The sequence below is a fragment of the Homo sapiens genome, chromosome 20 (assembly GCF_000001405.40).
Source record: "Homo sapiens chromosome 20, GRCh38.p14 Primary Assembly".
Lineage (NCBI taxonomy): Eukaryota > Metazoa > Chordata > Mammalia > Primates > Hominidae > Homo > Homo sapiens.
In genome coordinates, this window is record NC_000020.11 from 41,207,759 (window position 1) to 41,235,039 (window position 27,281).

Consider the following 27,281-nt stretch of genomic DNA (forward strand, 5'->3'; position numbering starts at 1 on the left):
ACACCCTAACATCACAATTAAAAGAACTAGAGAAGCAAGAACAAACACATTCAAAAGCTAGCAGAAGGCAAGAAATAACTAAGATCAGAGCAGAACTGAAGGAGATAGAGACACAAAAAACCCTTCAAAAAATCAATGAATCCAGGAGCTGGTTTTTTGAAAACATCAAAATTGATAGACAGCTAGCAAGACTAATAAAGAAGAAAAGAGAGAAGAATCAAATAGACACAATAACAAACAATAAAGGGGATATCACCACCGATCCCATAGAAATACAAACTACCATTAGAGAATACTATAAATACCTCTACGCAAATAAACTAGAAAATCTAGAAGAAATGGATAAATTCCTGGACACATACACCCTCCCAAGACTAAACCAGGAAGAAGTTGAATCCCTGAATACACCAATAACAGGTTCTGAAATTAAGGCAATAATCAATAGCCTACCAACCAAAAGAAGTCCAGGACCAGACAGATCCACAGCTGAATCTACCACAGGTACAAAGAGGAGCTGGTACTATTCCTTCTGAAACTATTCCAATCCACAGAAAAAGAGGGAATCCTCCCTAATTCATTTTATGAGGCCAACATCGTCCTGATACCAAAGCCTGGCAGAGACACAACAAAAAAAGAGAATTTTAGACCAATATCCCTGATGAACATCGATGCAAAAATCCTCAATAAAATACTGGCAAATCGAATCCAGCAGCACATCAAAAAGCTTATCTACCACGACCAAGTTGGCTTCATACCTGGGATGCAAGGCTGGTTCAACATATGCAAATCAATAAATGTAATCCATCATATAAACAGAACCAAAGACAAAAACCACATGATTATCTCAATAGATGCAGAAAAGGCCTTTGACAAAATTCAACAGCCCTTCATGCTAAAAACTCTCAATAAATTAGGTATTGATGGGACGTATCTCAAAATAATAAGAGCTATTTATGACAAACCCACAGCCAATATCATACTGAATGGGCAAAAACTGGAAGCATTCCCTTTGAAAACTGGCACAAGACAGGGATGCCCTCTCTCACCACTCCTATTAACATAGTGTTGGAAGTTCTGGCCAGGGCAATCAGGCAGGAGAAAGAAATAAAGGTTATTCGATTAGGAAAAGAGCAAGTCAAATTGTCCCTGTTTGCAGATGACATGATTGTATATTTAGAAAACCCCATCGTCTCAGCCTAAAATCTCCTTAAGCTGATAAGCAACTTCAGCAAAGTCTCAGGATACAAAATCAATGTGCAAAAATCACAAGCATTCCAATACACCAATAACAGACAAACAGAGAGCCAAATCATGAGTGAACTCCCATTCACGATTGCTTCAAAGAGAATAAAATACCTAGGAATCCAACTTACAAGGGATGTGAAGGACCTCTTCAAGGAGAACTACAAACCAGTGCTCAACGAAATAAGAGGACACAAACAAATGGAAGAACATTCCATGCTCATGGATAGGAAGAATCAATATTGTGAAAATGGCCATACTGCCCAAGGTAATTTATAGATTCAATGCCATCCCCATCAAGCTACCAATGACTTTCTTCACAGAATTGGAAAAAACTACTTTAAAGGTCATATGGAACAAAAAAAGAGCCCACATTGCCAAGACTATCCTAAGTCAAAAGAACAAACTTGGAGGCATCATGCTACTTGACTTCAAACTATACTATACTACAAGGCTACAGTAACCAAAACAGCATGGTACTGGTACCAAAACAGAGATGTAGACCAATGGAACAGAACAGAGCCCTCGGAAATAATACCACACATCTACAACCATGTGATCTTTGACAAACTTGACAAAAACAAGAAATGGGGAAAGGATTCCCTATTTAATAAATGGTGCTGGGAAAACTGGCTAGCCATATGCAGAAAGCTGAAACTGGATCCCTTCCTTACACCTTATACAAAAATTAATTCGAGATGGATTAAAGACTTAAATGTTAGACCTAAAACCATAAAAACCCTAGGAGAAAACCTAGGCAATACCATTCAGGACATAGGCATGGGCAAGGACTTCATGTCTAAAACACCAAAAGCAATGGCAACAAAAGACAAAATTGACAAATGGGATCTAATTAAACTAAAGAGCTTCTGCAAAGCGAAAGAAACCACCATCAGAGTGAACAGGCAACCTACAGAATGGGAGAAAATTTTTGCAATCTACCCATCTGACAAAGGGCTAATATCCAGAATCTACAAAGCACTTAAACAAATTTACAAGAAAAACATCAAAGAACCCCATCAACAAGTGCACAAAGGATATGAACAGACACTTCTCAAAAGAAGACATTTATGCAGCCAAAAGACACATGAAAAAATGCTCATCATCACTGGCCATCAGAGAAATGCAAATCAAAATCACAATGAGATACCATCTCACACCAGTTAGAATGGCGACCATTAAAATGTCAGGAAACAACAGGTGCTGGAGAGGATGTGGAGAAATAGGAACACTTTTACACTGTTGGTGGGACTGTAAACTAGTTCAACCATTGTGGAAGACAGTGTGGCCATTCGTCAAGGATCTAGAACTAGAAATACCATTTGACCCAGCCATCCCATTACTGGGCATATACCCAAAGGATTATAAATCATGCTGCTATAAAGACACATGCACACGTATGTTTATTGCGGCACTATTCACAATAGCAAAGACTTGGAACCAACCCAAATGTCCATCAATGATAGACTGGATTAAGAAAATGTGGCACATATACACCATGGAATACTATGCAGCCATAAAAAATGATGAGTTCATGTCCTTTGTAGGGACATGGATGAAGCTAGAAACCATCATTCTGAGCAAACTATCACAAGGACAGAAAACCAAACACCACATGTTCTCACTCATAGGTGGGAACTGAACAATGAGAATACTTGGACACAGGGTGGGGAACATCACACACCACGGCCTGTCGTGGGGTGGGGAGAGGGACAGCATTAGGAGATATACCTAATGTAAATGACAAGTTAACGAGTGCAGCACACCAACATGGCACATGTATACCTATGTAACAAACCTGCATGTTGTGCACATGTACCCTAAAACTTAAAGTATAATTTAAAAAAGAATTATAAGTAATCTTCACATATGCTTTTAAGTATTTTTTTAAAAGAAAGGAAAGAAGAAAGAAGAGGAAACCAGAAACAAATAATCATTACACTATCCAGACATTACATAACATCCCTTACCTGTGAATTTAGATGTATTGAACTTTTAATAAAATAGATTGACTTCACACTTTTAAAATGCTAAGAAAGAAAACAGCTAAGGCAGAAAACTAACCTGAAAACAAAACCAATGGTTTTATATATAAAAGACCGAAATTAAACAGTTGATAACTCAAAAAGAAATAATAATAATAATTGTTTCACAGGATGCCATGAGAAAAGGGATTCTGTGAGCCCTATTACTAATATAGAATGATAATCATCATTATTACTTTTCGTTTTAGCAAATCATAATGCTCTAATGACTAAAACAATAGTAATTCTAATACTAAAATCAAGTTATCAGTATTTGGATTTGATACAAAGATGTAAAGAAAATTAAAATATCTCTATTCAAATTCTCAGTAAATAAACACGGCTATTTTATGATGAAAATAATTTTTAAAACTTTGAAGGTGAGGGTAAACATAAACCCACTCTAACAACTTCTCACCCCTTCCCCCACCAATTTGAACTGGCATGCACACTTTTTTACTTAATTTTTAATTATAAAGATAAAATGTAATTTAAATAAATTTAATGTCTATAATTTGGTATACCTTCTCATTTAGTCCAGATATTTTATTCATATTTTTATCACAATGAGCACACATTTGTGCTTTTTTCACCAAACATTACGTTATAAACCTTTTTGTTACACAAGCTTCATAAGTTTAACATTTAATAGCTACCTAATAATGTACCACAATGAATTTGACTTATCCACCCCTGCTGTTGAAAAGCATGCCAATCTCATGGGTGACAGTGAAACAAACATCTCTGGGCATACAGGATGTTTTTCTTCTATCAAATTATTTCCTGAGGTTAAGTGCACAGGAATGGGCTTACCATCTCAAAGAGCATCAACATTTCTAAGCTCCTTTGTATATATCATTGGCAAACATTTTAAATCAAGTGCTTTATGATCCCAAATCAGGGAAACTAAAAATAATACAGTTATGGACCCAGTGAGCAAATCAGATTTTCAGACAAGTTATGGAAGACATCAAGTAGAATATCTGAAAGCACAAACGACAAAAGAAAAAACAGATAAATTGGATGTCATCAAAATTAAAAACTTGCATTCTTCAAAGGTCACCATCAAGAAAGTGAAAAGATAGACAATCCACAGAAAGAAAAGGTTTGCAAATCATCTATCTGGTAAAGTATATCCAGATTATATAAATAACTTACAACTCAACCATAGAAAGATAATTTTTAAACGGGTAAAGGATTTGAATAGACACTTCTCCAAAGAAGATATACAAATGGCCAGTAAAGCACATAAAAAACTGCTCAACATCATTAGTTATTAGGAAAACACAAATCAAAACCACAATGAGATACCACTTCACACCCACCAAGATGGCTGTAATTACAGCGACAGATAACAAGTATAGATGAGGATGCAGAGAAACTGGAGCCCTCACGTATTGCTGATGAAAATGTAAAATGGTATAGCCACTTTGGAAAACTGTTTGGCAAACAAAATGTTAAATATAGAGTTGCCATAAGATCCAGCAATTTGGCCGGGCGCAGTGGCTCACACCTGTAATCCTAGCACTTTGGGAGGCCAAGGCGGGCGGATCACCAGAGGTCAGGAGTTCAAGATCAGCCTGACCAACATGGAGAAACCCCATCTCTACTAAAAATGCTAAATTAGCCAGGCATGTTGGTGCATGACTGTAATCCCAGCTACTCAGGAGGCTGAGGCAGGAGAATTGCTTGAACCTGGGAGGCGGAGGTTGCAGTGAGCCAAGATCATGCCATTGTACTCCAGCCTGGGCAACAAGAGCTAAACTGTGTCTCAAAAAAAAAAAACCAAAAACAAAACAAAACAAAAAAAACAAAACACCAGCAATTTAATTCCTAAGTATATACACAGTATAAATAAAAACATGTCCACCCCAAAATATGTACACAAATGTTCACAGCAGCATTATTCAAATAATGGCCAAAAGGTGGAAACAACCCAAACATCTATCAGCTGGTGAATGGGTAAGTAAAATATGATATATCCATACGATGAATTCTTCAGCCATGAAAAGGAATGAAGTTCTGATGCATGCTGCAACATGGATGATCCTGATGCTAAGTGAAAGAAGTCAGACACAAATGTCACATACTGTATGATTCCCATTTATATGAAATATCCAGAAAAGGCAAATCCATAGAGGCAGATAGTAGATTAGTGGTTGCCAGGGACTGAGAGTAGGGGAGAAGGGGGAGTGGCTGCTAATGAGTCACCAGGCAATGAAAATTGTTCTGAAATTAGATAGTGGGGATGGCTGCACAACTCTGAATATGATAAAAACCTCAGGAAGGACATCGAAACCAAGAAAGGTAGAGGACAGTAAATTATAGCACTCAGTTCTATAGAAGAGGGTCAGCATTTACATTTCTAAGGTTTCAATATAGGTGACACAGTTCTGTGCTACTTCCTGACTCACCTTGGTAATATTTACTGTGGCCCTAGAGAAGCTGAATGGCAGTGCCTGTGAACATCAGGTTTGCCAGAGGAGAGGGAAGAGAGATGCAGACCTACTACCTGGAAGTAGCAACAACACAAAGGAAAAAGAGCATGAGCACACCAGAAGGCCAGGCAGCAGAACTCAGGAGAAGCTAACTGCAGAGCCCTAGCAACACAACACAAGCACTCCAGGCACAGGGCCAGAACTGCTATTTGTAATGGGGACTGGGATTCACTGAGGAAAAGGTATATAGTGTTCCTGGTATTTTACTTACTAAGGCTGAGAAGTGGACAACATGAAGATGGATTTGATTTTTGGCAATAGTCCCAATGTCATTCAAAATTAAGTCTTGGCCAGGCACAGCAGCTCACGTCTGTAATCCCAGCACTTTGGGAAGCCAAGGTAGGAAGATCATTTGAGGCCAGGAGTTCGGGATTAGCCTGGGCAACATAGAAATTGTAAAAAATTAGTCAGGAACAATGGTGTGTGCCTGTAGTCTCAGCTACTCAGGAGGCTGAGGTGGGAGGATCACCTGAGCCCAAGAGTTCAGAGTTACAGTAAGCAAGGATCATGCCACTGCACTCCAGCCAGGATGACAGAGCATGACCTTGTCTCTTAAAAAAAGAAAAATTAAGTCTCAAATTAGCCCTAAATTATCATTCGAATAAATGACTAAGAAGGGTACCACTGCTAACCATGTTCTGGGTAGATGGACCATTGACTATAAGCAATTACAAAAAAGCAGTAGTGGCAGCAGTGGCAGCCACAGCCAGTGTTTACTGAGTGTTTCATATTGTTGGAAGTGCTTTTATACACATCCCCTCATTTCACTCATAATAAACCCAAGAAAAGGCACTATAATTATTCTCATTTTACAGACAAGAAGGACAAGGCTCAGAAAAGTGCAGTGACTGCCTGGAGCGCACACAACTGGGAGACGACAGAAGCTGAATAAGAACCCAAGCAGTCTCGCTCCAGAGCCTGCAACTTCAACCACTCCACACAGTGAGCTCTCTGAGAAACCTCCAGATTGTTGCAATAAGGGCTACAGACCTCTTGAAGTAATATTTTCCTCCAGCATTTATTAAGAAAAAGTTCAAACAAATGGCAAAGTTGAAAGAGATTGACAGTGAACACCCATATCCCCACCACCTGGATGCTTACTAAGGTGGCTGTTTTTAGCAACATTACCCATTTAGGTAAGCTTGGGTTTATTTGTTATGTATTTTTAAAGGGGTTAAAAATGGTGCTTAAACAGCAAAGTTCTAATTATCTAGAAAATCATTCATCCAAAAGACACTCATGGAGCATGTCTGATAAATGAGGCACTACCATGTGGAAACATGCTATTGTCTAAGTCAAGCCCTAGTGAAGTGAGCTGATAGAAATGTAAGGTGCGGCCAAAAGAGATTCAGAAGGAAAGGCCAGGTGATGTTTGCATTTTGTCATTTTTGTACAATCCTTTACATGCCCCATCTTGAAACCTTCTGCCTTGTAAATGGATCTTTAAATGGGGCCAGAGCAGTGGCTCACACCTATAATCCCAGCACTTGGAAGGCCGAAACGAGTGGATCACTTGAGGTCAGGAGTTTGAGACCAGCCTGGCCAACAACATGGTGAAACCCCGTCTCTACTAAAAACACAATAAATTAGCCAGGTGTGGTGATGTGTGGCTATAATCCCAGCTATCGGGAAGCTGAGGCAGGAGAATCACTTGAACCCAGGAGGCAGAGATTGCAGTGAGCCAAGATCGCACCACTGCACTCCAGCCTGGGACACAGAGTAAGGCTCCGTCTCAAAAAATAAATAAATACAAATAAAAATAAAAATAAATAAATGGAAAAATAAAAACAAAAGTGCATAACTTTTTTTAAAAATCTGTCTTTGGGAATTGGTAATTGCTCAATTCACTAAATTAGCAAAGCTATAGTTAATAGCCACTATATTTCAGCACTGCAGTATACATATGTGAGTTTTTTAGATAAAAATCTTAAAGTGTTTATCTTTAAATTATAGACTGAATTAGGAACTTTAAAAAATTCTGAGGAATGAATTGGAAGAACAGTAAGAATTCAATGAAGGAATTCAAATACTTAGAAAGTAACTCTTGACAGACTCTTCCAAGCGTTATGATAGTCAGCCTGCAGCCCTCTTGAACATATCACCCAGTATTTATCATTAAAAACGGAAATAGGCCAGGCGCGGTGGCTCACGCCTGTAATCCCAGCACTTTGGGAGGCCAAGGAGGGTGGATCACAAGGTCAGGAGATCGAGACCATCCTGGCTAACACGGTGAAACCACGTCTCTACTAAAAAAAAAAAAAAAAAAAAAATACAAAAAAATTAGCTGGGCATTATGGCGGGCGCCTGTAGTCCCAGCCACTCAGGAGGCTGAGGCAGGAGAATGGAGTGAACCCAGGAGGCGGAGCTTGCAGTGAGCAGAGATGGCGCCACTGCACTCCAGCCTGGGCGACAGAGCGAGACTGTCCAAAAAAAAAAAAAAAGGAAATAATGGTAGAAGTTGACAGAATTACAGAAACATAACTATAGTGGGAGATTTTAAGATAATATTCTAAAGATCAAGTGGACAAAGAAAAAAGATGTAAAGAATGTGACTACTATGAGGTTGATCTGACAGACATGAATATAGTCTTGAGTATTCTATAGTAATTGACTTCACATTCTACACCATGAAACACATTTAAAAGTTACTCGTGATGTATAACAGACCATAAATAAACCTCAACCCATTCCAAAATAAAAATTCATAGGTAGCATTCCACTATTTAGTGCTAGCAACAAAGACTTACTTTGAAATTTATCCTTTTTACTTTGTTTCAAATTATGCTCTAAGTGGAAATTTCTCTCTCGGAAAGAAAGAAAAGTGAAAATCCTTCCTATTCACCCCCAGAGATAAACCATTGTTAACAGTGCAGTATATATGATTTCAGGCATGTTTCCTAGGCATAGCTTACTATAATTAATTCTTTTAAAAAACCAAAAATGGAATTGTATTTTTACATCCTATTTTGACCCTGAGTTTTCGTCTCACAATTATTTAATTTCAATATCTTTCCATGTCACCATCTCTAGTTTACCTCAGTCTTTTAAACAACTTCAGCATTCTAGGTTATGGATGCATCATAGTTTATTTAACCATTCTCCTGATAAGAGACATTTGCATTTCTCCAGGTTTTTAACTATTACAATGACTCGGTGACCATCCCTGCACATATTTTTATACATTTGAGAATTTCTGAAATACTGAATTTCTTACAAGTAAAATTGCAGTAGCATTTAAAATATTGTTAGCAAAATACAAAATTGTCTTTCAAGTAAACTGTACTGATTTTCGCTGTTACCACCAAAGAACTGAGGATGCACTCACTATCACTGCATATTCTTGCTATTTTCAGTCTTTGTTAATTTGATATATAAAACACTAATTACTAGTATTTGGAATCTACATTTCTTTATGAGCAAGGCTGAATATCTTTTCACATGTCATTGACGATTTTGTATAAAATTATCTTTTGTCCATTTTCCTATGGGATGTCAAGTGTTCTCCATATATTAAGAAAATGGGCTATTCTTTACCTGTCATAGATGAAACTGGGGTTTCATCTCCATTTTTTGGAGCCCATCTACCACAGGAGGCAGTAAATGACATTAAAGAATTACTGTTAATGTTGCTATGTATGATAATGGTATTTCAGTTATGTTACAAACAAAAGTCTTAATCAGTTGGTGATGCACACTCGAATATTTATGGGTAAAATAATTTGTTATATAGGATTTACTGGGAGGAAAAACCCAACCCCCTAGAAAAAAATGAGGGATGGGTAGAAATACATGAAATAAATTTGACCATGAACTTATAATTGTTCAAGTTGGGTTGGGATATATATGGCTCATATATATGCTCTTATGTACATTTGACATTTTCATAATTAAAAAAAAATTAAAAGCTCGAGACATATTTTAAAAAGAAATCTTGTATCATAAATGAAGCTTAAATTTATATTTTTAAAAAACATTCTGTTTTAAATGTTTCTCTCTTCCCTTCCTTTGGAAAATGCTGACCTTGGAAACAAAAATCAGATGCAGCCACCCACCCTACTGCTGCCCAAGCCAATCCTAAGTAAATCAGTTGGCTTGCTGGGAAGTTTCCATGACCGAAAAGAAAACAGAATTCACTTCAATTTCATCATCAAAGTCCACGAAAGCTTGCAAAGCACTTCCATATCCTTCTCAATCCATCCTCATAGTCTCCTGAATTGGTTATTATTGGCCTTCCCTCATTGTAGTATTGAGGAGCTATCGAGCAAGAAAGGGGAGGTGATATGACCAGTCACACACGACATATTTTTGGCAGAGCCAGATATTCTGATTCTAAATTCAGTGTTCTCTTTTAGACTATATTCATTCTGAATACCAACTAAACAATACATCCACTACCTGTAACTATTTTGACATTTTTTTCTTACAGAGGGTTCGAAGATTTTACAACCTGAACTATTCTAGTGTTTTGTTTTGTTCTTTAAAAAGGCTTGACAATGTAGTCCTAGCTACTTGGGAGGCTGAGATGGGAGGATCTCATGAGCCCAGGAGTTTGAGGCTGAAGTGAGAGCTATGGTTCCGTCATTGCATTCCAGTAATGTGGGCAACAGAGCAAGACCCTGTCTCCTAAAAATGAAAAAAGAGGCTGGACCAGTGGCTCATACCTGCAATCCCAGCACTTTGGGAGGCCAAGGAGACAGGATTGCCTGAGCCCAGGAGTTTGAGAACAGCCTGGGCAACATAAGGAGACTCCGTCTCTACAAAAAATTTAAAAAATAGCTGGCATGGTGACACGCATGCTTGTAGTCACAGCTAATTGGGAAGCTGAGGCGGATGACTGCTTAAGCCTGGGAGGTCGTAGCTGCAGTGAGTTGGGATTATGCTACTGCACTTTAGCCTGGGCAACAGAGCAAGACCCTGTCTCTAAATAAATAAATAAATAAATAAATAAATGGTAAAAAGGCTTGACAGTTATTATGATCCTTAGTATTTATAACACTTTTATACCGTCAGAAGAGGGTCTGTATTGCTTACTCTTATGTATTAATAGAGAACTCTTTTAACATGAGGCTTGGTGATTAGACCACGGTAAGTCAGTAGGACTCTATAACAAAAAGAACATGTGGAAAACTGTCCTTCCTCAGGAATGTGTGTGGGCAGGACCTTGGCAGTCCAGTAAGTGGATGTGCTGGTTGCAATTGTCAGATTTCTGCTGAAAACAAAAAAGTTACAAAGAACTCAAGTCTAAATCCTCAAATGTCAAAGCAATGTCAAGCCCAGAGCTGGCCTCAATTTGCCCTCTGGTTACTTAAGGGTCACAATAATTTCTGCATTTAGTAATCACCATCAGCCAAGGGCTCAAGGCTAGAGCTCTCTACTTGTTTTTCCCCCTCAAACAGTGCTGTTTTTTTTTTTTTTTTTTTTTTTTGAGACGGAGTCTCGCTCTGTCGCCTAGGCTGGAGTGCAGTGGCGCGATCTCGGCTCACTGCAAGCTCCACCTCCCGGGTTCACGCCACTCTCCTGCCTCAGCCTCCCAAGTAGCTGGGACTACATGTGTCTGCCACCACGCCCAGCTAATTTTTTGTATTTTTATTAGAGACGGGTTTTCACCGTGTTAGCGAGCATGGTCTCGATCTCCTGACCTCGTGATCCACACGCCTCCGCCTCCCAAAGTGCTGGGATTACAAGCGTCAGCCACCGCACCTGGCCTTCCCCCTCAACTCTTATTTTTGTCTAATCACCAACAGAAATAGCCCACTCTAGTCAGATATTATCACCTCTAAAGTAAACATTAATTTGTTCTTTCTCAAGCTCAGAAGGTGATTGTGATATAAATACAAAGGCCTCAGAATTAAAGAGACTTTAGAGATCATATATTCTAACCACTCACCTTTGCATGAATTTTACCTTAAGTACCACTACCAGGTGGTTAGGATGGCCTATACCTGAAGATCTCCAAAGATAGGGAGCTTGGCACTTATTGACACTAGAAAGATGTTTGAAATGGTTCCTTGTAGTAAGCACCAAAAACAACAAAACCTTCCTATAAGTTTTATTTGCTAAATTTGTTTTTTCTCTCAAATAGAGTTGAGGACTTACTATGTGCTAGGCACTGGGTATACAAGGATTTTTGAAAAGATGCTAGCTAGCCCTATAACTCAAGAAGCTAACAGTCTGTTGTGGTTATTAAGCTATCCACCAGGGCTCTGGGCCTTGCCCTCCACTGGATGCATTGAATTTCCCTGCCTACCTGAAGTTAGGTGAAACCAATGAAACGTGAACAAATGTGTCACCTCCAGGGGAAAAGTTTTATGAGAAAGTATAGGCTTTGCCTCACTATTTATTCTCTGGCCTGCAACTGGTTATGTTCCAGATGGCGGCTACTCTATCAGCCTGAGTCCTAAAAGAAGAACAATAGCTGACCTGCCATGTACATGCAGTATGAACAAGAAATAACCTTTGTCACTTTAAGCTACTGAGGTTTTTGGAGTAGCTTGTTACTGCAGCCCATCCTCACTGATACAGAGTCTGAAGACAGACAAACAAAATCATCAGCAAAATGATCAACAAAGTCATCAACAAAATGATCAACACCAATCAGACAATAAGCTGAGTGTTGTAGTGGAAGCATGCACAAAGTTCTGTGGAGCATAGGAAAAGACTTTCTACCCACCTCTGTCTTCCGGGGAACTTGGGGTAAGGCCTCATAGAGGAGGTTGCTTTTGGATTAGAGCTCGAAGGATGAATAAATACTGCCAAGTAGATAAGTTGAGAAAAGAGTGTTCTAGACAAAGGGAACACTTTATACAAAAACCGTAGAGGGAGGAGAAAACATGGCATGATTGGAGAGCTAGAAAGGATTCAGTTTTGCTATTGTACAAATCTGAATGTGGTAGATTTCCTATGAAGCTACTACAGCCGAAGCTTTGGGGACCCTCACTTCACTTGCACAGGCACCTTCCAAAGCCTCTATCTAACTTTATATCTTTATAATTTTATTCTTAGATTTTTTTCTTAGGAGGGTCCCCTTTACTAATGTTCAAGTTCCACAAAAGCTGGATCTGCTTGTGATGGATCAGGTTGCAGGAATAGGAGGTGATTCTAGGTATACAAACAAGATATTTGACTTTCTATATGATACAGTTTTTTTTGGTTTTTTTTGTTTTGTTTTGTTTTTGTTTTGTTTTGTTTTGAGGCAGAGTCTTACTCTATCACCCAGGCTGGAGTGCAGTGGTACAATCACGGCTCTCTGCAGCCTCGACCTCCCAGACTCAAGTGATCCTCCCGCTTCAGCCTCCCAAGTAGCCAGTATTACAGATGCGTGCCACCATGCCCAGCTATTTTTTTTTTGTAGAGATGAGGTTTCGCCATGTTGCCCAGGCTGATCTTGAACTCCTGGACTCAAGTGACCCACCCGCCTTAGCCTCCCAAAGTGCTGGGATTACAGGCATAGCCACTGTGCCCAGCCGACACATTTTTCAATTGGAAAAACGTGATTTTTTGGAAAAAAAGAATCATGTTCCCTAAAAGTCTTCTTTTCCCCTAAACCAATAATCCTCAGTTCCTGTACTTTGTGTGACTGGGACAGAGACTCCACACCACTCTCCACTGTTCTTCTCTGAATGTGCTCTTATTTGTCTATAGCCTTCTCAACAGTGGCATCTAAATCTAAATCTAATTCTCCAGATGTAGTCTGAGCGTATTTATCACCTTCCTTAAACTTACTCATGTCATATTTAATCTTTCACAAAAGTTTTTACCCAAACGATGCCACATTATTTATAATGTGAGATTCCCCTGAAAAATATGGATCAATGCTCTTGGATTTAATCCACAGCACCAGGACTTGTACCAAAATACAATACCTGCTTGTTTCAATTTAGGTTTGGCAGAATTTGAGGAACAAGTTTGCAGAGAAAAGATAGTCAATTCATTTAACAAATGTTTACTAAATGCCTTTTCTATGCCAGACATGCCAGAATATGGGGAAGACAAAAAAAAATAGATAGAAATCTCTGCCTTCCTGGAATTTACATTCTAGTTTGGGGGAGAGAGATAATAAATAAAATAAGAAAATGAAATTATGTGTCAGAGCAAAAAGTGGAAGAAAAGCATAGCAGTGAAAGGCTGAAGAAATGTGGAGCATGGCAGGGGTGAGACTGCAATTTAGATATACAGTGGTCAGAAGAGAACTCACTGAGAATGTGACACTGGAGCCAATACTCAGAGGTGTGGAAGTGAGCCATCTGGGTAAGTGAGGAAGCACACTCCAGGCACAGGCATCAGCTGGTGCAAAGACCTTGAGGTGAGAATGTGCCTGACATGTTCAAAGAACAGCAAGGAGGCCAGCAGAGCTGGGCGGCGGTAGTAGAGAGACAGTAGTATGAGACAAGGTCAAAGAGGCTGTGGTAGGGGGCAGGGAGGGGATCCATGCAGGTCCACTGCCATGATCTGAGTCTCTCTGAAATGGGCAGTGCCAAGAGAGGGCTTTGAGCAGAAGGTTGGCGTCATCCGACACGTGTCCTTCAGCATGGCTCTGCTGGCTATGTTGAGAACAGACTGTAGGAAAACACAGTGGAGAAGTAGGGAAACTTGTCAGACATCAATCTAGGCAGGAGATGACAGCAGCATGGACCAGGATGGTAGAGATGGAGGTAAGAAGAAGTGGCTGGATTCTGGATATGTTTTGAAAGTAAAGCCGAAAAGACTTCCTAAAGGAATGGATAGGAGGATGTGAACATTGTAGCCACGGGAATCAAGGATGACTCCAAGATTTTTGATCTAAGCAACTAGAAGGATAGTGTTGCCATCAACCAAGATAGGTTTAAACCTGGGAAGCTTTGTGAAAAAAGCAAAGCAAATCTGTGCTGCTAAAACTAGAAGGTCCTTTTCCAGGGGAAAAACTGGATTGAACTGGTTTGGTCACAAGTGTTGTAGGAAATTAATGGGTCAGACTGCTAATGAGCAAAGAGGCTGTGTAGTGCCAATGTTCCCAATGAAAAGACTCTGGTCTTTGCCAAAAGCTGCTCAAATCTACAGAGAAACTACAGAAATGGGGGTTGGGGGGAGGCTGGGACCAAATCTAGGGTATTATAAGAGCCAAGTAGTTAGAAATTGCACTCTCTGAGGTGTGAGACAGCGCCTTTCAAAGTTAAACATGTTACTTTAAATGTACTTGCATCCTAAATGTTGTTCCAAGTACTAAGTAAATTACTTTATTAAATTTAAAACTAAACAGTAAAAAAGAAATTGTTCTGGATGTGGTTTTACTTCTGAGATTACATTTGTTTTGTTTTAATTGAAATTTTCCAGTGTGGGCCAGATAGTTTACAGGCTGAATAGCTTGCAGGCTGGTGAGCTCACTTGAATTTCTCAAGAACATTTGTTAAAAAAAAAAAAAAAAGAAAGAAAGAAAGAAAAATTCTCTCTGGCTGACCACTGTGGATAAGATGTTCCTTTTACCTCTTCCAGGCTTAGTCTGTATTGATGATTTTCTTCAATGGCCTCACTACAAAGTCCAGCAAGATCTTACACACAAGAAAAAATGCTCAATTTCACTCACAGTAAGAGAAATACAAATTAAAATTACTCTGATTATTTTTCTTTCACTTACTTTGGAAAGGCTTGAAACATTGGATAATAATATCCTGAGTTGGCAAGGGTTTGCAGAAATAGGCACTCTCATACACTGCTTGCTGGAGTGAAAATTGGTAAGACTTCTATTAAGAAGTATTTAACAAGAACAAAATTATAAAAGCTCATTCCCTGACTCACCAGATTCTGCCTCTAGGAAGGCAGCCTGCTGATATACTTTGCACAATGGTAAGTCATACATGTATAAGGTAATCTACTATCAGCATGGTAATGGCAAAGGACTGGAAATAACCTAATCACTCATCAACAGGAGATAATCAAATCAATTATGGCACACTTATACAATGGAGTAACACACTTGTGAAAAAGAACAAGGGAGGTGCTTTTTATGCTGCTATGGATTAACCTTCAAGCTATCTTGATATATGTTAAGTTTTTTAAAAAGCAAAGCACAGAATAAAAATTATACGCTAGAAATACCTCGAGAAAAATATGTGAGAAACTAATAATAGTGTTTGCCCCTGGCGAGGGGAAGAGGGAGATGTGTTTGAGGGAAGCTTTTCCCTGTAGCCCCTTTTAAATTCTGAACAATGTTAATGTGCTATGTATTCAAAACAAAAAGTTAAAAATTGAATAAATACATAAGTGGAAAAAATGTTAGCATATTTCCCAAAATACATGGGTTGTTACAAATAACAAGTGAGAAAGTGAGAAGCTAATGGCGTCAGAGTAGAGGTCCTTACAGAGTATGTAACTGGGTCAAATACCAAGTAGTGCTCCTTTACATTTCAAACTTCTAATAGCTACAGATGAGCTTTTGGTGTAACTTCTGTAGGGGTGCATGTGAGCACTTCACTTAAAACTATATATTATATATTGCATTTGCCTCTGGCCATAAAGCCATAGTTCAAAAATAACTTAGAGATATCCAATATACAAAACAAAAAATAAATAAATAAAAGAACAAGCAAAACAAAAAAAATACCCAAAATGGAGGAGTGGGACAATATATGCAGTCCAACTTCTTTCCTAATTAAAAAATCCTGCAGCAATCTGTTATCCAGTCTCCAACTGAGTATCTCCCAAATGTGGGAGCTAATTATCATTTATGACAATTTATTACAAAGCCCCTTTCTTAGTTGGACCTGGTTCCCAGCTTTTAGATTTGTCTTTTGGACATAAATCAACTCTTTTTACTACATGACGCATCAACTCTCTTTTCTATATATCAGCTTTTCACACAGTTGAAGATCATTTCCTCTTTTAGTATTTACTTCTGCAGCTAAGTGTCCTGAATTCATTGCACATTCTCTCTATACATTCTAATTTGTCTGCATTTCTCACAAAATGTGGCAATTAGAACTGAACAAAGCATTCAAGATGTAGCCCAACCAGAAGAGAATTAAATGGAAGCTGTGTTTTCATCATCCTATTACCATGACTAATACAACCAAAAACTGAGCTAGATACAAGTTCTATTCTCCCCCTCACAGAGGAGGACTTTGAGGTGAAGTGACCCAGTGGGACAAGGAAACACTGCTAGAATTAAGGAGGATTAGGATTCTTTCATCACAAGGCCATTTGGATACACGTTTTCAGACACTCATTTATAATTCCAACAGAGGACTTCTGAGCTATCTTCCCCTTTGCCTCTTTGAAATCTACCTTCTTAAGAAAGGAATGTTAGACTTTCTCTGAACATCCTATCTAAATGTCTTTGGGGGCTCCCCCAAATCCAAGCTGAATTATTCTCTATCACAGCATCCTAATTGTTTCTTTCATAACATTTATCAAAATTTGTCTGGATCTTCATCTGATTCTTTTCCTGCTTATTGTCTTTCACTTTGGCTAGGCTGTAAGCTCTGTAAGTAAGGTCAGGGCCTATATCCACTGTTTCCGTAGCATATAGCACAATGTCTGGCACATAATAATCGTTTTCAGTGAGTGAATGGGTGAATAAACGGTAGCTGATAATGGAGTTAAGACTCTAACATCAGACAGAGCCCTAACACTGTGGACTGTGTATTCCTGGGCAAATGACTTAAGTCCTCACAATCCATTTCCTCATTGGTAAAATGAGGAGCTATTAATACCTACCTCATAGACCTGACATGACATTCGGTGAATTGATAGGAAGTACACAAAATGATTTAGCATGCTGTCTGATATACAGGAAACACTCAATAAATCATAGTTACTGCAGCTACTGCTACTGTTCTAATTACCACCACATCCCACTCAGAGGCTGGCCACTGAAGGATGACAATTAACTGTAACAGCTAGAGGTACATCAGCTGTTTTACCCAGCCTACCTTTCTTTCTTTTTAAAAAATTGTGATAAAAAACACATAACATAAAATTCATTGTCTTAACCATTTGTTTTTTTCTTTTGAGATGGAGTCTCACTCTTGTCGCTCAGGTTGGAGTACAGTGGCGTGATCTTGACTCACTGCAATCTCCGCCTCCCAGGTTCAAGCGATTCTCCTACCTCAGCCTCCTGAGTAGCTGGGATTATAGGCACCTACCACCACGCAGGGCTAATTTTTGTACTTTTAGTAGAGACAGGGTTTCGCCATGTTGGCCAGGCTGGTCTCGAACTCCTGACCTCAGGTGATCAGCCTGCCTTGGCCTCCCAAAGTGCTGGGATTACAGGCGTGAACCACCGCACCCAGACTGTCTTAACCATTTTTAAGTGTACAGTAAGGTAGTGTTAAGCACATTCACATTGTTGACCAACAGATGCCCAGAACTTTTTAATCTTGCAAAAGATGCAAATACTATACCCATCAAATAACTATTCCCCTTACTCTCTTCCCCCAGCCCCTGGCAACTACCATACTACTTTCTAAGAGTTTGACTACTTTAGTTACCTCATATAAATGAAGTTATATTTCAAGATGTAGCCCAACTAGAAGAGAATGAAAAGCAAGCTGTTTTCATCATCCTACTACCACTACTAATACTACCAGAAACCTAGCTAGCTAAAAAAAGTACTTATCTTGGGCTGGGCGCGGTGGCTCACACCTGTAATCCCAGCACTTTGGGAGGCCGAGGCGGGTGGATCATGAGGTCAGGAGATCGAAACCATTTTGGCTAACATGGTGAAACCCCATCTCTACTAAAAATACAAAAAATTAGCCGGGCGTGCTGGCGAATGGCATGAACGCGGGAGGTGGAGGTTGCAGTAAACTGAGATCGCGCCACTGAACTCCAGCCTGGGTGACAGGGCAATACTCTATTTCAAAAACAAAAGAATTTCCTTTCATTTTAAGGCTAAGTAATATTCCATGATATGTATATATCATATTTTATTTATCCATTCATCCACTGATGGACATTTAGGTTGCTTCCCCCTCTTGGTTATTGTGAATAATGCTGCAGTGAATATGGGTGTGCAAATATCTCTTTGGGATCTTATTTTTTATTCTTTTGGGTATACACTTTTTCTTGTTTAAGCTCTCCACAATCCTATGATGCTGGCAGAGCAGCAGAAATCACAGGAGTCATCAATTCGTCTTTACCTTTTTTGATCCTGTCATCAAATTATCTTCCTCTCAAGCTCACTCCCTAGTCCTTTCTGATAACCTCCTGGTTCCTCTATTTTCAAGTGAATTCAACAGGTCAAATTTAAAATTTATTTTACTTGTCCAAAAGGGAAGGAAGCTATTATACCTTTCCTATCCCTTTCTGTTGGAAGAACTCTAGGTTCCTCATCCAGAGAAGGGTACTGCCCCAGGTCTGAGCAGAATGAAGCTGCAGGTACTCAGGGTCTAAGCCCCCTGGAACAATAGAGGGCTATGGCTCTACCTTAGTCGGCCCAGGACAGTTTCTAAAATGTTTCCTTTATGAGTACTGTTTTGAATGCTGTTAATATTTCATCAGGAAGTATCAGTTTCCCTTGACAGGTAAGATTAAGTCCTATTCACTGGGTTGATCAGCCTTATCATTACAGCCAGGATATTTCTCTGCAAATCCCCTTCCAATCTTATGCTGCCCAACTAATGGGACCAACTGGATTTGCTCAATAAAGTTCTGTATTTTCCCAGAGCTCTTCATTTTCACATTATTGTCCTGGGGTGGGGGGCAGCAGAACAGAGATGTTGACAGCCAAATGGAAGATGCATTGGGAGGCTTCTGAAGATACTTGTTCTGTCTTTGAGAAACCTTAGAGCATCAAGGTGAAGCAAAAGGAAAGGAGAGGAATAGTGCTCAGTACCTGAGCCTTCTCTAATCTAAAACGCAATAAAGTCAATCATAAATCCTGAAAATGAGAGTGGCTGTGATGGTGCAAAATATAAAACTCCAACAACTATTTATCAGGAATGAAGTACATATATCTCCCTATTCGCATCTCAGCCTTCCTCCTGCAATATGTGAGTGAGTGTGCATGAACCCACACTCACCAGTGATACACTCAGGAGAGTACTGGGGAAGAGTTAACTTCCGCTGCAAGATAGTTAGCATATTTATTTCCTTTCCATGAGACTTCAGGAGCCTAAATCAGAAGTTTCTAAGAGCTTCTCTTGATGTCATATATTCTGAGAATGGATACATCTAAGAACTGATGTAATGTGTCTGCCATTATGAATTTGGTAAAAGTTCTATTTATCTGTTTTTAAACAAAAGGACTGCTTTAATGTTACATATTGGTTTGTTATTACATATTGGCTGGTTATTTGTTATTGGTTGTTTCTATGACACACTTGGACAAGAAAATTTCTAGTCCAAGTATATCATAGTGGTATTACTTGAGACACCACTTAAATCTCATAAAAATAGAAAAGATCCCCTAACTGGCCTCTCCCATCTTCCCCCTCCCCCATGCCAGACTGCCTCTGTCCCACTTATTCAACTTCCTTGCTCATCAATCTTTGGTGCATTGCAGGCCCCATTCCTTCCTCTCCTTCTGCCCAAACCACTTGCACCAAGGTCATCAGTCAAGTGGCTCTTTCCTACTCCTTCAAGTCTCAAACCACTCAGGACCCAAAGGAAGTTAAGACCCACACCTCTATAACCTCTCCAAAGGGAGCAAACTCATGCCCAGGACTTTGCAATCTCCTCTACCCAAGAGATTTCCAAATCACCCTTGCCAGCCCTGACCTATCTACCAAGTTCCAAATCCATTACTTCCAACTGCCATTGATCCCTGCAGGTTTTAAAAAACTACATGCATAAATTTCTGGCTCCGTTGACCCTGGCACTCACCCTTCCAAAAAACGAAACAAGCAAATAAAAAATATAGCCTAGGTCTACTTCCTAAATCTTCATTTCACCTCTCACCATTTGTCTTAGTCCGTTCGGGGTGCTATAACAAAAACATCATAGACTGGATGGCTTATAAACAACAGAAATGTATTTCTCACAGTTCTTGAGGCCAGGAAGTCCAAGATGAAGGTGCTGGCATATTCAGTGTCTGGTGAGGGCCTACTTCCTCATAGACAGACAACTTCCCACTGTCCTCACATGGCAGAAGGGACCAGGGAGTGTCTGGGGTCTCTTTTATAAGGCCACTAGTTCCATTCATGAGAGCTCTATCCCAGTGACCTAATTACCCTCCAAATGCCTCACCTCCTAAGACAATCACATTAGGGATTAAAATTTCAACACGTGAATTTTAGGAGATACATTCAGTCCACTGCACCATACATCCAGATTTCCAAGCATACTTATTTTTTTCCTAGTTTCCTTTATTCACATCTCTCTTTTCTCTTTTCCCACATGAAATGTTAATGGTCTCGGAAGCACTTAACATCTTTTCTTGGTAGAGGGACTTTTAGAAATTGTGGTAAAATACACATAACATAAAATTTACCATCTTAATCATTTTTAGGTGGAGAGTTCAGTAGCATTAAGTATTAACACAGTCACATTGTTGTACAACCATCATCACCATCTGCCTCCAGAACTCTTTGCCTTATAAAACTGAAACCTTACACCCATTAAACAATAACTCCCATTTCCTGCCCACCCCTGACTCCTGACAACTACCATTCTGCTTTCTGTCTCTGTAGATTTGGCTACTCTAGGTATTTTACATAAGTGGACTCATATAGTATTTGCCTTTTTATAACTGATCAATTTAACTTAGCATAATATCCTCAAGTTTCATCCATATTATATGTCAGGATTTACTTCCTTTTAAAGGCTGAATAATATCCCCCTGTATGTATATACAACATTTTATCCATCTATCAATGAACACTTGGGTTGCTTCTACCTTTTGCCTATTATGAATAATGTTGCTATGAACATGGACATACAATCTCTTTGAGTCCCTACTATCAACTCTTCTGGGTAACTACCCAGAAGTGGAATTGCTTAATCACATGGTGATTCTATTTTTAATTTCTTGAGGAATTGCCATACTGTTTTCCATAACAGCTGCACCATTTTACATTCCCACCAACAGTGCACTGAGTTCCCAAGAGTTCTCCACATTCATGGCAATATCTGTTATTTTCTTTTTTTTTCTTCAGAGTTGCCATCCTAATGGGTGTGAGGCTGTATCTCACTGTGGTTTTGATTTGTATTGCCTAATTATATTAACGTTGAGTATTTTTAATGTGCTTATTCATTTGTGTATCTTCTTTGAATAAATGTCTATTCAAGTCCTTTGACCATTTTAATCAGGTTGTCTGGGGTTTTTTGCTGTTTTTGTTGGGTTGTAGAAATTCTCTATATGTTCTAGATATTACCCCTTTATTAGATATATGGTTTGCAAGTGTCATGAAGCTTTTCTCCTCTGTCTTCTTCTAAGCATTTTATAGTTTTAGATCTTTTGTTTAGGTCTTCGATTCATTTTGAGTTAACTTTTATATATATGGTGTAAGGTAAGGATCCAACTCTATTATTTTCCATTAGATAGCCAGTTTTCTCAGCACCATTTGTTGAAAAGACTGTCCTATTCCCATTGAAAGGTCTTGGCATCCTTGTAAAAAATCATTTGACCTTATGTGTGAGGATTTGTTTCTGGTCTCTCCATTCTACTCCATTGGTCTATATGCCTTCATTAACAATTTTTAATATTAAATAGATGTTGAAATAATATTTTGCATATATTGGGTTAAATATATTCTTAGATTTTTTTTTTTTACTGTTTCAATGTGGCCCATAGGACACTTATCACGTATTGGCTCTCATTGTATTTCTGTTGGACAGCACTGCCTAGATGCTTCAGACTGGAGCCACCGGGCAGTGTGGAGAGCAACAGCTAACGTCATGGGATTAGATGATCATCTGAAAGCTCCTCTCCTCTTGTGTTTATCATTATAGTACTTAGGGAGCAGGATATCACTGTGGCTGAGAATTGAGGCTTCTGAGTCAGGCAAGTCCAGGTTTCAAGACCTGCCCTGTCCAACACAGCAGCCACTAGCCATAGGTACTCATGTATGTACTGAGTATCTGAAATGTGGCTAATGTGAATTGAGATGTACTGTAAATGTAAAATACAGACCAGATTTCAAAGACTCAGTACCAAAAAAAGTAAAATATCTAGTTAATAACTTTTATATCAATTACATGTTAAAATATTAGTATTTCTGATAAATTGGGTTAAATAAAATGTATTATTAAAATTAATTTGACTTGTGTTTCTTAGTAGGCTATTTTTTAGATCAAGTTCACAGCAAAACTGACCAGAAGGTATAGATATTTCCCATATACCCACTGCCCCACACATGCATAGCCTACTCCATTATCAACATTCCCCACCAGAATGGTACATTTGTTACAACTGATCAATCTACACTGACACATCATTATCACCCAAAGTCCACAGTTTACATTAGAGTTCACTCTTGGTGTACATTCTATGGGTTTGGACAAATTTATAATGATATGTATCTACAATATTATAATATCATACAAAATAGTTCTACTGCTCTAAAAATCTTCTGTGCTCTGCCTGTTCATCCCTCCCTCCTCCCTAACTCCTGGCAACCACTGATCATTTACTGTCTCTATAGTTTTGCCTTTTTCAGAATGTCATATAGTTGGAATCATACAGGTATGTAGCCTTTTTGGATTGGCTTCTTTCACTTAGTAATATGCATTTAATCTCCCCCCATTGCTTTTTATTTTTTGACTTGTTAATTTTGATTTTTTAAAAATGTGGCTCCTAGAACATTTTAAATGACATATGCAGCTCACCTTATGTTTCTGCTGAACATTTCTCAGCTTGGCATGGGCAGTTTTTCTCAGCATGGCATCTTCCTGTCTTTCCAGTCACTCAAGTCCAAGCCTGGTTGTACTTGGTTTGCTGCAACCTAAACACACCAGCCTCCTTGCCTTCACACATACTAGAGTTCCTTCATTAGAGTTTTCTTTAACCCCCTCCCTCACCTGAAGACTAATTCATGCTCAGACCCAATTCAAATACGACATCTTTAGTGAAGCCTTTCTAAACTTCCACTGTACCTAAATCATTTTTTATAGCACATTCTACCTTATAATTTTTTTGTATGTGGCTGACTTTCTCTCCAGATTGTGAAATCTTTGAATTAGGCCCCATGTTTTGTTCATCTTTGGGTCCTCAATCCTTAGTACAGAGCCTGACACATGGTAGGCAATCAGAGATGTTAAGTTAATAAATGAATAAAATGCAGGAAAATTAACATATCCTCTAATAAGAGATAACATATTCACTTAGAATCAAATAGCTTAGAAAAGAACCTCAAATGCCATAAACAAGGGTGTAAAATTCTATCAGCCAACAGCTAAAATTATTCACAAGCTAAAATTTGTATTCAGTCAAAGCAACACATTAATCAATAATATTTATAAAGTATATCACAGTGAAAAGATGGTAAAGCACCTCCTAATGGTTAATGATAGTGATTGGCCTGGAGATGTGGAAACTAGCTATGGAAACTAGATGGTTAAAACAACCACATTCCGTACCATTAGACGCTGACAGCCCAGACCCCACCAAAATAGAGGCAGTGAAACAGCCTTTGAAGTTGTTTTCAAAGGAAGCCACCAAGATGATTAAAGGGTTGGAAAATGAGATTTATGGGTAATGGCCACAGAAACGAAGACAATTTTGCCTAGGCAAGAGAAAAGGCCGAAGGGTGACTTAATAACCATCTTCAATCATTGTTATTACACAGAGAATGATGACCAGATGGTCTCCATTTTCACCAGAGAAAGAATATTGAAAATGGACTTACGCTGCAGCATAAAAAAAAAAAAAAGGTCTAGTTTTAAACAAAGAACTCAATGGTTAAGAACTAGTATACAGCAAAGCAGACCTGGGGAGTGTGTGGTGTAGCCATGTCTGAACTCATCTGTTATGCTGGGAAAGCAGCAAGTGGGTAGGGTGTGTTCAGGTCTTCAACAGTCCTTTGTTGAGGGCAAATTCTCAACTGGCTAGTCCTCAAATGAATCACGTAGCATACAACCACAGGAGTGGAAAAGAAAGAGATATGAAAATTGAAACACAGCACCCTCTGGTGTACATAGCTGTCTTCTAATCTAGGAAAATTCTTCTTTTTTTTTTGAGACGGAGTCTCGCTGTCGCCCAGGCTGGAGTGCAGTGGCGCAATCTCGGCTCATTGCAAGCTCCGCCTCCCGGGTTCACGCCATTCTCCTGCCTCAGCCTCCCGCGGGGGACTACAGGCGCCCACCACCTCGCCCGGCTAATTTTTTGTATTTTTAGTAGAGACGGGGTTTCACCGTGTTAGCCAGGATAGTCTCGATCTCCTGACCTCGTGATCCCCCCGCCTCGGCCTCCCAAAGTGCTGGGATTACAGGCATGAGCCACCACGCCCGGCTGGAAAATTCTTGATATGTATCAGTATTTTTCAAAATGTAAGCTCCAAACCATGACAGAGTCAGGAGAAACTTACACAAGGCTGGTCTTAGGGTTCGTTTAATCGCTACATCCATCTTTATCAAGCACCTGCGATGCATTTCTCCCTGTTACCAGGAGGTACCAGGAAGCCTGTTACACAAGCAACCTCAACTTCTGCCTATAGCAAACTTGGATTCTTCCCAATCACCTTTTGAATGCTGAATTCAGACTCTGATACAACTAGCTGGCACATGACCATGCAATGCTGAGACATGATAACATCTGCCAGATAATGTGAATTTTGCCCTGTGTTCAGGAGTACATTACATATAAAAGTTAAGCAACACCTAAATGGGGGTGTTCCCTTAGACATTCTCCCTGCTATGTTGTGGTGTATACACCCTTCTTTACTGATCTCTGTCTGCCAAATCCCAGCCGGCCACTTTTTACATCCTCCTAGGCTTTATGCTGCAAAACCTTCCTAATATCCTTTTAAGTACAAAAGACATTCAATGAGCTCAAAAAGTTTGAGACCCAATCAAGAATCTTTTGCAGCCCTCTCAGTATCTTTAGCCATCTTGTTGCCAGATGGGAACTTCATTCACATGACACACATACTTCCTTCATGTGACTCACCATTGCTAAGCAACTGGTATGTCCTAGGTGAATAAAACATATGCCCTGTGTCTGAGATTCACAGTGCAGTAGGGGAACATGGATAGATACGGGTGTAAATAGATCAGCTGAAGCATGAGTTGAAGCTCAAGGCTCTACATGCCAAGAACAGAGGAAAAAGGCAATGGAGAGACCGGACAAGAACTATCAGGACATCAGAACAGAACTTACATCCTGTGAGAGCAGGACTTATGCTAAAAACAAGTCTTAAAGGATGAAAAGAAGTTGTCCAGGCAGACAAGACAGGAATATGTATCATCCTAGGCATAAAGTCCCAAGACATGTCACCTTTTGAAGAATGGAGCCATGTGGCACACTGTCCTCCAGTCCCAAAGGTCTCCTTGAAGAGACATGAAAATCCCACCTGAAGAACTCACCCTTGCAGATTGTACATAGCACAGACCTAAATGGCAACAAACAAGCAAACAAAAAACGCAGTACAGACTAGGCACTGATCTGATGGAAGCGAGACAGGCTGGAGTAGCAAAGGGTCTGACTAAGAAGCTTAGGAGGAATTCCTCTGATACCCTTCTTGGTGCCCCCTCCCCAGCAACATCTAACAGCCTCACTCGGGCCCAACTTCCCTGTTGCACTGGTGGCACTGCATTGCAATTGTGGGTACAAGATTCCTCCCCCACAAAACTGTGGGCTGAGGCAAGAGTTCTACCTTTTTATTACTACGCCTCTGACACTCAGCACATATGAAGCACAAGCAAAATTTGATGACTAAGCTAAGTAATTAGTTCATATGTGTGATTAGGGTTTGAAAGGGCAGAACCTTGGACCTATGATCCCAAATACCTTTGTCTATCTAGTTCACCTGGTTTTGTTCCTCCTCAGAAGCCATCTATCCTCCTTACCTTGGTTCATGTTTTCCTATCTCTCCATTTTATACACATAAACCAACTCCTACCCTCAAATCAGGGAAAAGGGACAGATATTCCTGTCCTCAAGTTAAGAGTGACCTATGTCAAAGTGAAAAACAACTAAGCCAAAAAGGTAACAGGGAACTGGCTTCTTGAGCACTCAGAAGAATTTGAGATTACTGCCTCGCGAGGGAAAAAGGGAAACCCAACCCGATTACAGTGTAAAAATAGGTCACTGCTTGAATACAGCCCTTTGGTTACTGGCTGCAAGCCCCTTTTTGCTTTTGACTCCAGTGTCACAAGAAAGTGGCAGCATAGTCTTAGAATAAGGGCTCCACAGCCAGCTGGCTGCTCGGCCAGGCCTTCCTGCTGGCATTCTAGAAGCAGCATGCAGGGCCAGGCACCTACTGGGGAGCTCAGTAAGCCTTTGTCACTGCTGACATGAAATACAAGAGTTGGTAAGTTTCTTTGGTTTTGTTTTGAACAAACTGGCAGATAGTTCAAGGTTGTCCTTGTAAGTCTCTCTCACTTGCATTCAGCTATACATTGTTTAGTAGGAAATGAGTATAGTTCAGCTAGTTCACTTATCCCCATG

At 39.5% G+C, this 27,281-nt stretch overlaps 1 protein-coding gene across 25 annotated transcripts in view; it reads right to left on the reverse strand.

The window, feature by feature from the left end:
* Nucleotides 1-27,281, reverse strand: part of ZHX3 (zinc fingers and homeoboxes 3) — a 139,277-nt gene that overhangs the window by 29,304 nt on the left and 82,692 nt on the right. For 3 of the 25 annotated variants that reach the window (NM_001384315.1, NM_001384323.1, NM_001384324.1), the window contains one exon: nucleotides 5,976-6,141. The exons of 21 other annotated variants lie outside the window; for them this stretch is intronic. The gene's annotated coding sequence lies outside the window, so the exon portion shown is untranslated. Of the gene's footprint in view, nucleotides 1-5,975; nucleotides 6,142-27,281 lie in introns of those variants that run through there. One more of the 25 variants, XM_047440043.1, reaches the window with a different exon arrangement.